The 15529-nt window shown below is 40.3% G+C and overlaps 1 long non-coding RNA gene across 5 annotated transcripts in view, besides 1 other annotated feature; it reads right to left on the bottom strand.

The window, feature by feature from the left end:
- KLF9-DT (KLF9 divergent transcript) overlaps positions 1-15529 on the bottom strand; it is a 136304-nt gene that overhangs the window by 100735 nt on the left and 20040 nt on the right. The gene's annotated exons all lie outside the window — the stretch shown is intronic.
- Positions 10892-11186: an enhancer, noted in NCBI's record as "tiled region #12362; HepG2 Activating DNase unmatched - State 3:PromF,and K562 Activating DNase matched - State 5:Enh". NCBI's record gives its function as "activates a minimal TATA promoter and a strong SV40 promoter by Sharpr-MPRA in HepG2 and K562 cells {active_cell/tissue: HepG2 | K562}" and the evidence as "EXISTENCE:reporter gene assay evidence [ECO:0000049][PMID:27701403]".

Raw genomic sequence — 15529 nt, 5'->3', positions numbered from 1 at the left:
CAAGGCAGTGCTGGGACCAAGAAAGCTATAGCTGTCAGGCCCAGGTGAGTTCAGGCTGACCTGGCAGACTGAACTCACACAGCAGTGTGGCTGCACACGAGGTACTTGACATTCTGGTTTCCAAGCCCACAGGGAATACAGAGCCACAGCCTGTCCTAGGCCAGTCTTGGAGGAGGACAGGAAATTCCCAGTGGGCAAAATACATGAGTTTTTTCCCCACCAAATGGACTGGAAACTTCAGCAGATCCCAATTTTGCTCAACCTACGATGTCAACTCCAAATGAAAGTTTTTTAGAACAGGCACGTAGAACAAGTCTCTCAGAGTGGTAAAACCAGATAATGTGCCTGTGCTCTCTGGAGAGCCTCAGAGTCTCTGGGAGGAAGTTGAGGCTGGCGGGGAAGCCACAGGTGCCCACTTGTCCTAGGCAGCTTGGGCTACTATAAGACATAACATAGACTGGGTGACTTGAAAAATAGAAATTTATTGCTCATGGTTCTGAAGGGTAAAAGTACAAGATCAAGGCACCACCATCTAATTCTGTTTGTGGAGAAGAACCTCGTCCTGGTTTGCAGACAGCAATACCCTCACATGACTGAGAGAGGTCATTCCTCTCATGTCTCTTCTTATCAAGGCACTAATCCCATTTATGAGGGCTCCACCCTCATGACCTAATCACCTTCCAGAAGCCCCACCTCCAAATATCATCACACTGGGGATTAGGGTTTCAACATAGGAATTGGGGGCAATAGTGGAGATGACTGAACAAACATTCAGTCCATAGTATCACTAATATTTGTTTTTCTCTTTTGTCTTATAACAAAAAATGTCAACCTACAAAAAGGTGTAACATAAACCAGTTTCCACCATACAGATTTAACAAATGTTAATATTTTGCCCTATCACTTTTGCATCTTTATTCTAAATGTTACATCTACACTTGAACCTTATGGGACTTTTCCCTGATCTTGTTTCCTGAGAAGTAGCCACAGTCATGAAATTTGTGTTTATCATTTAAACCCCTTTTTAAATTTTTACTACATATATATGTGTCTGTATAAACAATATTTGCTATTATTTGGAGGTATTTTTTAAATTTGCATAAAAGGTAGTACATATGATCCTGAAACTTGCTTTTTTAAATTCAAACATTCTGTTTTTAATATTTATCCATACTGCTACATGTAGGTATTTATTTAGAGACAGGATCTCGATCTGTCACTCAGGTTGCAGTGCAGTGGTGTAATCATAGTTCATTGCATCCTTGAACTCCCAGGCTCAGATGACCCTCTTGCCTCGGCCTCCCAAAGTGCTAGGATTATAGGCATGAGCCACCATGCCTGGCGCATTCATTTAATTGTGGTATGTTCTTTCTTCGAATAGCCCTTGATTATTTATTCATTCTTCTTTTGACAGACTTTCAGTTTTCATTTTTGCTGTTACAATACTGCAATGAAATCCTCATTTCTCTAGGGTGTATACCTGGTGATAGGGTACATATATATTTACCTTCCACAAAAACTACCACATTTTCCCTATAATGGCTCTTCCAAAATATGCTAACAATGCGTGAGGTTTACTTTTTCTCTACACTCTAATATTGTTGACTTTTAATTTTCATTAATCTGATGAGTGTGACATAACATCTCATTTTTATTTTAGTTTGCATTTCTATGACTACTGGTAAGACTGATCATCTTCACATATTTTTTCTTCTTCAGATCACCCTCTTCCGGGAATTGCCTGTTCATAATCTTTTCTCACTTTTCCTTTTTTTTTTTTTCTTGGTTAGGAAGTTGTCTCTCAGTTATTTACAGGAGTTCTTTATATTCTTTGCATACTCTGGATGCTAACCCTTTGTTGATTGTGTAGAATGCAAAGTATTCTCCCAAAAGGTAATTTGTATATTAACACTGTGTTGGGTATCTTTTGTCATTCAGAAGGGTTTTATTTCTTAATATAGTCAAGTGTATCAACTCTTCCTTTACAGTTGTAATTTTTGTGTTTTGTATAGAAATTCTTCCCTATCCTGAATGATAGTCTCCTATAACTCATTTTAGAGTTTTGCTTTTTGTAATTAGAGCTTTAATTATTCTAAGATATATTTTTGTGTATGATAGATTATAGACATATTTTAATTTTTTCTCATATAGCTATCCAGTTGCCACAGCAACATTTATTGGAATAGGCCATCATTTTCCCTGATTTGTAATGTCTCTTTTATCACACGTCATGTTTCGTGTATGTTTGGGAGTCTTTGTGGGCTCTCTATTCTTCTCTATTAGTCTTTCTGCTTCATCACTCTGCCAGTATCACACTGTTTTTGATTAAATAGCTACTTAATGAGTCTTGATATCTGCCAAAGCAAGACTCCTCCCCTTCCCCTCCCATTTTCTTCAATTTTTTTTTCAAAATTTTCTTAGCTTATTCTTAGCTTCTTCATCTTCCAAATTAATTTTTGTTTTAGCCTGTGAATTTCAATGAAATTTCTGTTTGGGATTGTGTTAGTTTAGGGGTTAATCAGAAACACAGAACCACTGCGAGTGATATAGGTAAGGGATTTATTATAGGGCTGAGACCTCATACAATTGTGGAAGGTAAACATTTTATGCAAGGTCATTGGTTCCATGTCTGGTGTCAGACCTCAAGTCACCAGAGCCAGCAGTAGGGAAAGAAGATGAATAGGAAAGACCACGAATAATTAGGAACCTGTAAGGACAAACCCATGTCTGTCTGTCACTATCCTCAACCTTCGTGATGACCAGCAGGATACGCCAGCACCCTTCCTCATGGAGCTGCCACACAAAGCTGGTCCAGCTGCTATTTCATGAGCTGTAACAGGGCCTGGCCCTATACTGACCTTCAGGGCATAAAAATGGTTACTATTTCACCTCCACCTTCCAATCTCCCCAAAAATTTTTTCTCATGGCTTACCTTAACCCACAACCATTCAATGAAGGGATGTCTAGGTAACAAAATTCCTACTCAGCTAAGCTGACACTGTTCAAAGCTATCTCTGAGATTTTATTTGGAATGGCTTAAATGTATGATGAATTTAGACCACTTGATAGCTTTAAAATATTGGCTTATTTCATCTATAATATTAGTTTATGTTTTCTTTTATTCAGATCTTTATGATCCTTGAAATGTTTCATACATTTTTCCAGAACATTCTTACACATATTTTGAAACTTAAGAACTGTATAATTTTTTTAAGATGGGTCTCACTATGTTGCCCAGCCTGGTCTCAGACTCCTGGGGCCAAGTGTTCCTCCCCCATTCGCCTGCCAAGTAGCTGAGGTTACAGGCATACACCACTGTACCCAGCTCAGGACCTTACAATTTTTGTTTGATACTTTGAATGGGACCTTTAAAAATTATTGTTTTAGTCCATTTTGTGCTCTTATAACAAAACACATGAGACTGGGGAAGTCTCTCTGAACCTATTCTTATCCAGGGGGTTGCCCAAAAGAAGAAGAAAAACATATGTGAGACTGGGTAATTTATAAAGAAGTTTCTTTGGCTTATAATTCTGGGGGCTGGGCAATCCAGAATTTGGTAGCCCATCTGTTGAGAGTCTCATGCGCTTCAACTCATGGCAGAGAGCAGAAGAGGAAGTGGGCATGTACAAAAAGACCAAATGTGAGGGGCAACAACCCGGTCTCAGATAACCAATCCAGTCCACAGAGACAGCATTAATCTATCCATGAGGGATCCACCCCTATGACTTTAACACTTCCCGCTAGGCCCTACCTCCCAACACTGCCACATCAAAACTCGAATTACAACATGAGTTTTGGCAGGAACAAACTACATCCAAACTATAGCAATTATGTAGACTAAATGATTTACAGTAAAGGTTTTGATTTCTGTAAGTCTGTTGAAAGTGTACCTACTAGTATCTCTAACTATTATTAGGTCTAATTGTGTGCTTGGATTTTTCTATTTAGACAATCCTATCATGTCGAATGTTGAAAATTTTGTGACCAGATGTGGTGGCTCACGCCTGTAATCCCAGCACTTTGGGAGACGAGGGCAGGTGAATCACATGAGGCCAGGAGTTCAAGACAGCCTGGCCAACATGGTGAAACCGTATCTCTACTAAAAATACAAAAATTAGCCAAGCGTGGTGGTGCACGTCTGTAATCCCAACTGTTTGGGAAGCTGAAGCATAAGAATCACTTGAACTGGGGAGGCAGAGGTTCCAGTGAGCCAAGATCACACCACTGTACTCCAGCTTGGTTGACAGAATAAGACTCTGTCTCAGAAAAAAAAAAAAAAAGAAAAGAAAATTATGCCTCTTCTTTTTCATTCCTATGCCTTTTTGTTTTCCTTGTCTTACTGCATTAGCTAGAACTTCTTTCCTCTACAATACTTTTTTTTTTTTTTTGGACAGGGTCTTCCACTGTCACCCAGGCTGGAGTGCAGTGGCAAGTTATAATAGTTCACTGCAGCCTCAACCTCCTGAGCTCAAGCCATCCTCCCACATCACCTTCCCTAGTAGCTGGGATTATAGGCATGCACCACCATACCCAGCTGATTTTTGTATTTATTGTAGAGATGGGGTTTTAACCATGTTGCCTAGGCTAGTCTCATACTCTCAGGCTCAAGTCATCCTCCTGCCTTGGCCTCCCAAAATGCTGGGATTACAGGCATGAGTCACTGTACCCAGGCTACGATCTTGATTAGTAGCAGTGAAGGGAACATTTTTGTCTGGTTTCTAACTTTAAGGATAAAGCATCTAGAATTTCACCATGAAATATCATGTTTCTTATAGATTTTTAGAAACTATTAGTATAAAAACTTCTTCTATTCCTAAGTATTTTATTAATACATTTTAAACTCTAATGTTTTCCTTTCCTCTATAAGGATAATTACATACTTTTCTTTATTCTGATGGTTGGTAGCCAGGCTGTAAGATGCCCTGCAATAATCCTGCCTCCTGGCATTCACACCTTTCTGTAATGTCCTTCCATAATGAGAATGTGGCGGAAGTAATGTTATGTCATTCCTGAGATTAGGTATAAAAAGATTTTTCTTGGTTTATACAGCAAATTAGTTTTCTATATTTTGCTGTTCTATAAATAGTTTTACAATAGAAATTGTTTCTTAAGATTTAGTCAAACTTGCCTGTAAAATTATCTGAGTCTAGTGTCATTAAAGTGATGATTTTTTTAAATTATCAAGCCACTATCTTGAATAGTTACTGATAATTATTGTCAATTCACTTTTAATGTGTTATATTTTTCTAGAAAATTATCCATTCTGTCAGAGTTTCTATTTTATTTATTTTTGGAGACAGGGTCTCAGTCTGTCACCCAGGCTGGAGTGCAGTGGCACAATCTCAGCTCACTGCAACCTCTGCCTCCTGGGTTCAAGCGATTCTCCTGCCTCAGCCTCCCAAGTAGCTGGGATTACAGGTGCCCACCATCATGCCTGGCTAATTTTTGTATTTTTTGTAAAGATGGGGTTTTACCATGTTGGCCAGGCTGGTCTCGAACTTCCAATCTCAAGTGATCCACCAGCCTCAGCCTCCCAAAGTGCTGAGATTGCAGGTGTGAGCCATCCCGCCCAGCCTGTGAGTTTTTAAATTTAACATCATAAACTAGTTCATATTCATCACTTGTGAATTTTAAAAATCTCTATCTGTGGTATAATTTCACTATTATTTATGCTTTTCTCTTTGATCCCTTGATTAATCTTGCCAGAAATTTGATAGTTTTATTAAACTTTTCAAAAAGTCAGCTTTTGCCTTCCTGAGATCCTCTATGGTTCCTTAATTTTCTATTTTATTTAATTTTAGCTTTATCATTACTATTTTCTTCATTTCACTTTCTTTAGATTTACCCTATTATTCCCTCTTTACCTTCTCAAGTACAATAATTTATTTTCAATTTTTCTTGAATGTGTCAAATGCTATAAATTTTATCTTAAGTGTTTTTTTTTTTTTTTTTTTTTTTGAGATGGAGTCTGTCGCCCAGGCTGGAGTGCAGTAGTGCAATCTCAGCTCACTGCAACCTCCGCCTTCTGGGATCAAGCAATTCTCCTGCCTCAGCCTCCCAAGTAACGGGGATTACAGGCATGCCCCCATGATGCTTGGCTAATTTTTGCATTTTTTTTTTAGTAGAGACAGGGTTTCACCATGTTGGCCAGGCTGATCTCGAACTCCTGACCTCAAGTGATCCACCTGCCTCGGCCTCCCAAAGAGTTGGGATTACAGGCGTGAGTCACTGCACCCAGCCCCCCAACAGTTTTTTTTTTTTTTTTTTTTTGAGATGGAGTTTCACTCATGTTGCCCAGGCTGGAGTGCAATGGCAAGATCTCAGCTCACTGCAACCTATGCCTCCCAGGTTCAAGTGATTCTCCTGCCTCAGCCTCCTGAGTAGCTGAGATTACAGGCATGTGCTACCTCACCCAGCTAATTTTTTTGTATTATTAATAGAGATGGGGTTTCACCATATTGGCCAGGCTGGTCTTGACTCCTGACCTCAAGTGATCCACCCACCTTGGCCTCCCGAAGTGCTGGGATTACAGGTGTGAGCCACCACACCCAGCCTAAGATCATTTTTAGATTGCTTTACTATTTTTATGTCACTTGCAATGAATTAATTTCTCCACTATTGACTGTGTTTCTTCTTTCTTTAGTTTTTGTTTGCTTCTTGTGCTGAAGTTTTTGGTTTGCAAGTTTATTTTGTATGGAAGGTTTTTGCTGTTCTCTCTCCTCACCATTCCTGGTCTAACAGTCTTGCAATTACCTCAACCCAGACCCACAGGATCCCCAAACTACAATTGGGTTTTATAATTGACAGCTCAGGAAAGATGTCCTAGGATAATATTGGTGATGCTGCTGTAAGGGGCTTGGTTTAGGTCCTGGCCAAAAGGGTCTTTCTGCTTCCCCCTACAGCACTACTCTGCCTTATATAACCTAGGGAGTGGTCAGTTTCATTTCTTTTAGACCCTCCTTTCAAAGAGGTGGAGGGATAGAGAGTGCCTCTCTCCAGGCCCTGGTTTTAAGCAGTGAACATATTTTTGGTTTTGTTTTAGTTTGTTTTTAGAGACAGGGTCTTGCTATGTTGCCCAGGCTAGAGTGCAGTGACTATTCACTAGCATAATCATAGCCCACTGCAGGCTCAAATTCCTGGCCTGAAGCAATCCTCCTACCTCAGTCTGCCAAGCAGCCGGGACTACAGGCATGTACCACCATGCCTGGTTTGAACCTGGTTTTGATCACCTGCCTGGCAGGACACTCAGGGCCACATTTCAAGGAAGAGTTGATTTATTAACTGCTTCTGCTTGATTTTGTGCCCAAGGCCAAGCTGAGCTATTGCTTCTTACTATTTTTCTGCTGCATTTCTGATTGACAAATTTTTATCTTTTTTTTTTTTTTTAAATAAAAACAGGGTCTTTCTATATTGCTCAGCTGGTCTCAGACTCCTAGGCTCAAGCAGTCCTCCCGCCTTAGCCTCCCAAAGTGCTGGGACTACAGGCATGAGCCACTGCTCCCAGCCTTATCTTATTTTTTAGCATGGCTGTGTCTGTTATGTTTTCTCATTTTATAGTTTGTCTATTATTGGAATCATTGAAGCAAAGATAGTGATTGGAGCATAAATTTATAATACAGTCTTGACAGAAGTCTCCTGCTAATTCTTGTACCAGGCCTCAAGATGCAGAAGTCTTTGTCTACATGGAAAATTTTAATATTCAAAGATGCGGCAGAGATATGCCAGAAGTTGACTCAAAACCTCTATTTTGTAGGGCTGCAAACATTCATTGTTGGCCCACATGTCCTCCTTAAGTGGGGGACATTTGTTCAGCTTTGCCACTAATTATGTGCCTGACCATTGAAGTGGTGGTGGCCAGTTACCATCACAGGGTTGACCTCAGTGACCCACTGCTTAATGATCCCTTTGTCTGGTAGAATCACCCTTCCCTGAGGTTTCCAGTCAAAGAAAGAGGAACAGAACTACTGGTAAGTAAATACATGTTTAAAATGTTAAAAAAACATTCAAATATTGATTTACCTTTCAACTCACAAGGATATGCATCCCAAATTAGGAATATGTGGTAATGTAGCAGCAATGGGGTGGGAGCTACATGAAAAGCTACCAGATAAATACTATCCACCAAGTCTTCCTGGGGTGACAATTTTACAATTAAATTTTGATAAGAAGAAAATTATTTTTATATTAAAACAAATGCAGATAGAATACTAAAGCCATATGAATTTTTATAATAAAGCACCACTCTTCAAAGAAATGAGAAAAAAAATTGCTGTTTTCCTTTGAGTTCAGCCCTTAGAATCTCACAAGTTCACTCCTCTGGACTGTTGGGATATTTTGGTGCAAAAGTTAGAGAGGAATCATCATAAATGAATGAGTTAAAATACAAGACTAAAAGGTGGAATGAGAATGTCCATTTTGGACCAGGCACCATGGCTCACGCCTGTAATCCCAACACTTTGGGAGGCCAAGGTGGGCAGGTCACTTGAGCCCAGGAGTTCCAGACCAGCCTGGGTAACATAGTGAGACCCTGTTTCTTTGTTTTGTTTTGTTTTGACATGGAGCTGTGCTCCGTTGCCCAGGCTGGAGTACAGTGGCACAACCTCGGCTCACTTGCAACCTCCGCCTCCCAGGTTCAAGGGATTCTCCTGCCTCAGCCTCCCTGAACTCAGGTGATCCACCTGCCTCGGCCTCCTTTTGGTATTCATCATCGCCAACATTACATGCTTCCCAGAGCTCTAAGCCTTCTCTAACAGAACAAAATTTCCTATTGACAGGGAGCCCTACTGAGCATTCATTCATTTACCAAATCATTCACTCATCTTTTTTTGTTTTGTTATTCCTAGCCTGTTACTGTTTCATGGATTTACTCATCTTTATATTTTCTCTTACATGTTAGCAATTTTTCACCATAAAAGCTCTCCAAAAGATATGCCATTTTGTGATTTTCTTTCCTTTTCTTCCTTCTTCCCCTTCCCTTTCCTTCCTCCCCTTCCCTTTCCTTCCTTCCCTTCCCTTTTTTATTTTAGTTAACAGTCTTTTTACTCAAAAACTCATTATATAAACAATGAACAGAAGTAATATTTCTTCATTGGGATTTCAAGCAAAAACCCACTCACCTTTTTTTTTTCTTTGACACAATTGTTTATTTTAGAAAATACTATTTGGAATAAATTTAAGTTGTGAGTCATGTTAGGTTAAACTCAAGATGTTAAACTCAAGATGTCTTCTTGTGTGTACATATGCCCAATGAAAGGACTGCGAGGCAGCGTCATCTATGGCTCTTTGATCTGCTGGGAACAGGCATTGTTTCCATATATTTCAAAGCACTCACACCTCTAGCTTTATGTTGCCCTAGAGATATTTTTCTGTGCTATAATTTTATTTTTAGTTCAGTATGGTGCAAAAGTAACCCAAAGGTTGAGAAATTGAAAAAGAAGAAAAAAAGAGTAAGTACAATAAACGTTTAATATGTTACCTTTTATGTATAAACTATATTTAACTTTCTTTTTTGAGACAGAGTCTCACTATGCTGCCCAGGATGGTCTTGAGCAAACCCTCGGCTTAAGGGATCCTCCCACCTCAGTCTCCCAGGCAGCTGAGAATACAGGCACACGCCACTGCAACCAGCCTATATTTAACTTTCCAACTGTTGTTTATTAAATTTTTTCATTCTTCTATTGATTTATTTTTCTGTCTGTGAAAACTGGTATCTTGGAGTGGGATAGAGCACAGTTTTTCCCATTAAAATGAATAGAGCTGTTTTTATTTTTATGTAACAGCTTTTGACTTGGTAGCAGAATTATAATGCACAAATTAAAGTCATTTGGTGGGAGATGAATACACTATGTTCAGGGCAGCCTATGAGGCTCTGGAAATGCAAAGATGAATTGAACACATATCCTACCTGGAACGCAAAATCTAATAGGAGAAAATGATAGGAAAAAGGAAACTTAAGAAGCAATGACACAAATGCTATACTAACAAAACAGGGAGAAACATCTCCTGCAACCAGGAGGATGGACTTCAAGTGGGCATATGAATTCGGGGTAGCGGGAGATGGTTCAAGGCTTTTGCTTAGTCCCCTCTCTTTCAGTAAAAATACTTATATCTTATTCCTTTAGGACTCTGTAAGTTAGCTAGGCTGCTAACCTGCAATAAAGTAACTTTAGGTGAACAGTTAGTGGCTAATAATTATCCAACTCTCTACTAGGCAACTCTACGTGATGGTCCCACAGAGATCTCAAACTCAACTCCTCCAAACCCAATTCTTCCTCCTCACCTATAGATTTGTGATTTCCACCATTGTCCAAGCCAGAAACCCAGGAGTCATCCTCATCCCTTCCCTTGCCCTTATCCACCAAATCGGATTCCCATGCTTCGTCCATCTTTTTGCCATTCTCCTATTCCGAGCTACTTCCATCTCTGTTTTGGACTCTTATCTCTGCTCCTTGGTGCCCTTCAATTCAGCTTACAGACAGAGAGGTATTTCTAAACACAGATTTTGGCTGGGTACAGTGGCTCAAGCCTGTAATTCCAGCACTTTGGGAGGCTGGGGTGGGAAGATCTCTTGAGATCAGGAGTTCAAGATCAGCCTGGGCAACATAGTGAGATCTCGTCTCTACAAAAAAAATTAGCCAGGTGTGGTGGTGCTTGCCTATAGTCCCAGCTACTAGGGAGGCTGAGGCAAAAGGATCGCTTGAGCCCAGGAGTTGGAGGCTGCAGTGAGCTAAAATTGTGCCACTATACTCCAGCCTGGGTGACAGAGCAAGACTCTGTCTAAAAATAAGTAAGATATTAATCTTACATCTTTTTCCTGACTAAAGACCCACATGGCTTGCTGTTGCCCTTGGATAAAAGTCACAAATATGGGTATTCAAAGCCCCATAAGTTCTACCCAGAACCTTCCTTCCCAGCCTCCCCTCTCTCTACGGCTGCCTTCCTGTGAGTCACTTCCTTCAGTTCCTTACATGCAGCATAATCTCTCACCTCAGGAACTTTGTACTTGCTGTTCCCTCTTCCTGGAACATCCATCCCCCGCCCATTTCCCCTGCTTGCTTAGCTAACTCCTCCTCAGCTTAGCTCTCAAGTTCTCCCTGATCCTCTGACAAGATGTTATGTTTTCCTCCCAGCACCCTTGCATTCTCCTGTCACAGCCCTAATCACAATTACTGCAATTGGTTATTTTCCTCTCCTTGTAGACTATGGGATCTGGGAAGGCAGGGCTTATGTGTGCTCTGTTCACCATTATATCCACAGTGCCAAGCCCAATGCTGACACAGCGGGGAGACCCAATCTGTTGAAGAATGAATGAATGAATGAATTGCTTCCTTTACATGTAATTATAGAAAATCACCTACAGGCTGTATGCTTTTTTTTTTTTTTTTTTTTTTTGAGACAGTTTCACACTTGTTGCCCAGGCTGGAGTGCAATGGCACAATCTTGTCTCACTCCAACCTCCGCCACCCAGCCCAGGCTCTATGCTTTAATCCAAAGAAATGGATTGTCAAGAAGTGCATTCTAGGCAGGGCACGGTGGCTCCTACCTGTAATCCCAGCACTTTGGGAGGCCAAGGTGGGCAGATCACCTGAGGTCAGGAATTCGAGACCAGCCTGGTCAGCATGGCGAAACCCTGTCTCTACTAAAACTACAAAAATTAGCCGGGCATGGTGGCAGGTACCTGTAATCCCAGTTACTCAGGAGGCTGAGGCAGGAGAATAGCTTGAACCCAGGAGGCAGAGGTTGCAGTAAGCTGAGATCATGCCACTGCACTCCAGCGTGGGCAACAGAGCAAGACTCCATCTCAAAAATAAAAACAAAAATAAATAAATACAATTAATTATTAATTTTCAAAAATTCAAAAATAAGTGGCTAGGACCAGGCACGGTGGCTCATCCTTGTAATCCCAGTACTTTGGGAGGCCGAGGCAGGCAGATCACCTGAGGTCAGGGGTTCAAGACCAGCCTGACCAACATACTGAAACCTCATCTCTACTAAAAATACAAAAATTAGCCAGATGTGGTGGCACACACCTGTAGTCCCAGCTACTACGGAGGCTGAGGTGGGAGGACGGCTTGAGCCCCAGGAGGTCAAGCCTGCAGTGAGCCGGAGTGCACTACTGCACTCCAGCCTGTGTAGCAGAGTGAGACCCTGACTCACAAAAAAAAAAAACAAAAAACAAAAAAAAACAACTCCAAAAATAAATTAAGGCTGGGTATAGTGGCTTATGCCTGTAATCCCAGAACTTTGAGAGGCTGAAGTAGGAGGATCATTTGAGCCCAGGAGTTTGAGGTTACAGCGAGCTATGACCATGTCACTGTACTCTAGCCTGGGTAACAGAGCGAGACCCTGTCTCTAAAATATAAAGAAAAGAAAATAATAAATCATTAATATAATTCACTACATTAACAGAATAAAAGCCCCCCAAAAAGTATGATTATCTCCATGGAAAAAGCACTTGTCAAAAATTCTTAGTAAAAACTCTCAACAAATTAGAAATAGAAGGGTACTTTCTCAATCTGATAAAGGATATCTACAAAAACCTACAGCCAACATCATACTTAATGGTTATGGTTTCTTAGGCAACTCCATACACTGCAGAGGAGTTCAAACTGGCATAAACTTTGTGGAGAGCAATCTGATAAGATATACCCAATCAGTCATTTGCTGTTTGCTCTCAGGTAAGATCAAAAACAAGGTAAAAATGCTCCCTACCTCCACGCTAGTCAACATTTTACTAGCGGTCTTAGCAAATACAAGCTAAGAAAAAGAAAGACATAAAGCTTAGAAGAAAAAGTGTCTTTATTCAGACATGGCATGATAGTACATGTGAAAAATAAAATCAACGTATGGGCCAGGGACGGTGCCTCACACCTGTAATCCCAGCACTTTGGGAGGCTGAGGCAGGAGGATCACTTGAGGCCAGGGGTTCAAGACACTGTCTCTGCGAAAAATGCAAAAAATAAATAAATAAACACATGGGATTGGGACAACTGGGTGTCATTTGGAGAAAATTAAGTTGGGTACATCCTGACTAATTATACTAGAAAAACTTTTTTTTTTTTTTTTTAAATGGAGTCTGGCTCTGTCACCCAGGCTAGAGTGCAGTGGCATGATCTGTGCTCATTGCAACCTCTGCCTCCTGGGTTCATGCGATTCTCCCGCCTCAGTATCCCAAGTAGCTGGGACTACAGATGTGTACCACCATGCCTGGCTAATTTTTTTAATTTTTGTAGAGACGGGTTTTCGCCATGTTGGCCAGGCTGGTCTCGAACTCCTGACCTCAGGTGATGCACCTGCCTCAGCCTCCCAAACAGTTGGGATTACAGGCATGAGCCACAGCACCCGGCATAGAAAAAACACTTTTTAATAGATAATGAAATCAAAGGCACTAGAGGAAATCATGGGACAATTATTATTTGTATGTGGAAGGCCTTTCCAATTATAAAATAATATCCAGAAGAATAAAAAATTAATAAATACAACAATAACAAAAAAAACCTTCTGCATATCTTATTGTAGAAGGGGGAAATAACTGCATGGCTAAAATACAGTAAGTAAAGTTAAATGGCAGAAATTGAGAAAAATATTTGTGACTCATACCACAGGCAAAGCGCCAAGATCCTAATATAGAGAGAATCTACAGGGGAAAAGCCTACAATCCAAAAGAAAACAGGCAAAGGAAATAGATGAAAAAGGAAATACCAAAAGCTCTCAAGCATATGAATATGAGAAGATTCTCAATCTCACCCATAATGAAAGAATGAAAATTAAAAGCACCCTGAAATGCCATTTTTATCAATAAGATTGGCAAAGCTCAAGCTTTTTCTTTGGGAACAGGGTCTTGCTATGTGCCCAGGCTAGAGTGCAGTGGCTGTTTTTCCCAGGTGCAATCCTAGTGCCTTGAATTCCTGGGCTCAAGTGATCCTCCTGCCTCAGCCTCCCCAGTAGCTGGAACTACAGGTGCACACCACTGTGCCTGGCTTCAAACACATTTTTAACATACTCATTGATGAGGATATGGAGAAACAGGCACTTTTATACATTGCTAGTAGGACTATAAACTTGTGCAAACTCTAAGGAAGACAATCTGACAACATCTATCAAAATTACAAACACATGGACCTTTTAACTCAGCAATCAGACTTCAAGAACTTATCATACAGGTGTGCTGCCCCAATGTGAAAGAAGGTTATTTGCTGAAGTATTTTTGAAATTCCAAAAGACACAAAGTAACCTAAATGTTGGGCAGTTTGTTAATAAATTTGTTACATAAATTAAGGTATATTTACATCAGAGTTCTATGGCAGCATTAAACATGAGAAAACAATATATCAAAGGTCAATATATAGAGGACCTTCATGTAGTTACCCTGAAGATATATTATTATGTTAATAAGCTGGGTGCTCATGCCTGTAATCCCAACACTTTAGGAGGTCGAGGCTGAAGGATCGCTTGGGTCCAGGAGCTCAAGACCAACCTGGGCAACACAGTGAGACCAGGAGACCCCGTCTCCATTTTTTTTAAAAAAAAAAAAAAGATATGTTAGTAAATAAGGTGCAGAATGGTTTTTAGTAACCATTTGTGTATAAATGTGGAAAATATATGTATTTGCTTGGATACACATAAAATATCTTGGGAAGGATTTAGAAAAAATAGTAATATTTGATTGCTTCTGGAAAAGGCATCTAGATAGCTGACGGAGAAGGTTGGGAAGAAAATTTTCCATTACATATCCTTTTATACTTTTTGAATTTTGACCCACATGAGTGTTTACTTATACAAAAGATAATTATTTTATTTTTATTTTTGAGAGATGACAGGAGATCTAACTATGTTGCCCACGCTAGAGAGCAATGGCTATTAACAGGTGTGATTATTGCATACTGCAGCCTCAAACTCCTGGCCTCATGCAATCCTCCTGCCTCAGCCTCCCAAGTAGCTGGCCCTATAGGCATACACCACTGTGCCTGGCTAAAGATATTTTTTAAATAGGGTAGGAGAATATAAAATAATGTAGAAAACATTCATAGAAACTTCTTAGCTAAAAAATAGATTTTAAAAAAAACAAGCGTGTGTTTTTAAAATATGTGCTATCAAAATACCAGTGAAATTCTTCACAGAAACAGAGAAAAAAATTCTGAAATTCATATGGAACTGCAGAAGGCCCCACATAGCCAAACCAGTCCTGAGCAAAAAGAACAAAGCTGGAGGCATCACACTACCTGACTTCAAAACATACTGCAAGGCTATAGTAGTCAAAACAGCATAGACCAGGCATGGTGGCTTATGCCTGTAATCCCAGCACTTTGGGAGGCCGAGGTGGATCACTTGAGGTCAGGAGTTCGATACCAGCCTAGGCAACATGACGAAACCCCATATCTACTAAAAATACAAAAATTAGGTGGACATGGTGGCAGATTCCTGTAATCCCAGCTACTCAATAGGCTGAGGCAAGAGAATTGCTTGAACCCGGGAGGCGGAGTTTGCAGTAAGCCAAGATTGTACCACTGCACTCCAGCCTGGGTGAAAG

This window comes from Homo sapiens, chromosome 9 (assembly GCF_000001405.40).
Source record: "Homo sapiens chromosome 9, GRCh38.p14 Primary Assembly".
Classification (NCBI taxonomy): domain Eukaryota; kingdom Metazoa; phylum Chordata; class Mammalia; order Primates; family Hominidae; genus Homo; species Homo sapiens.
Note: the sequence above shows the minus strand (reverse complement) of the source record. Positions and strands in the feature narration are given on the sequence as shown.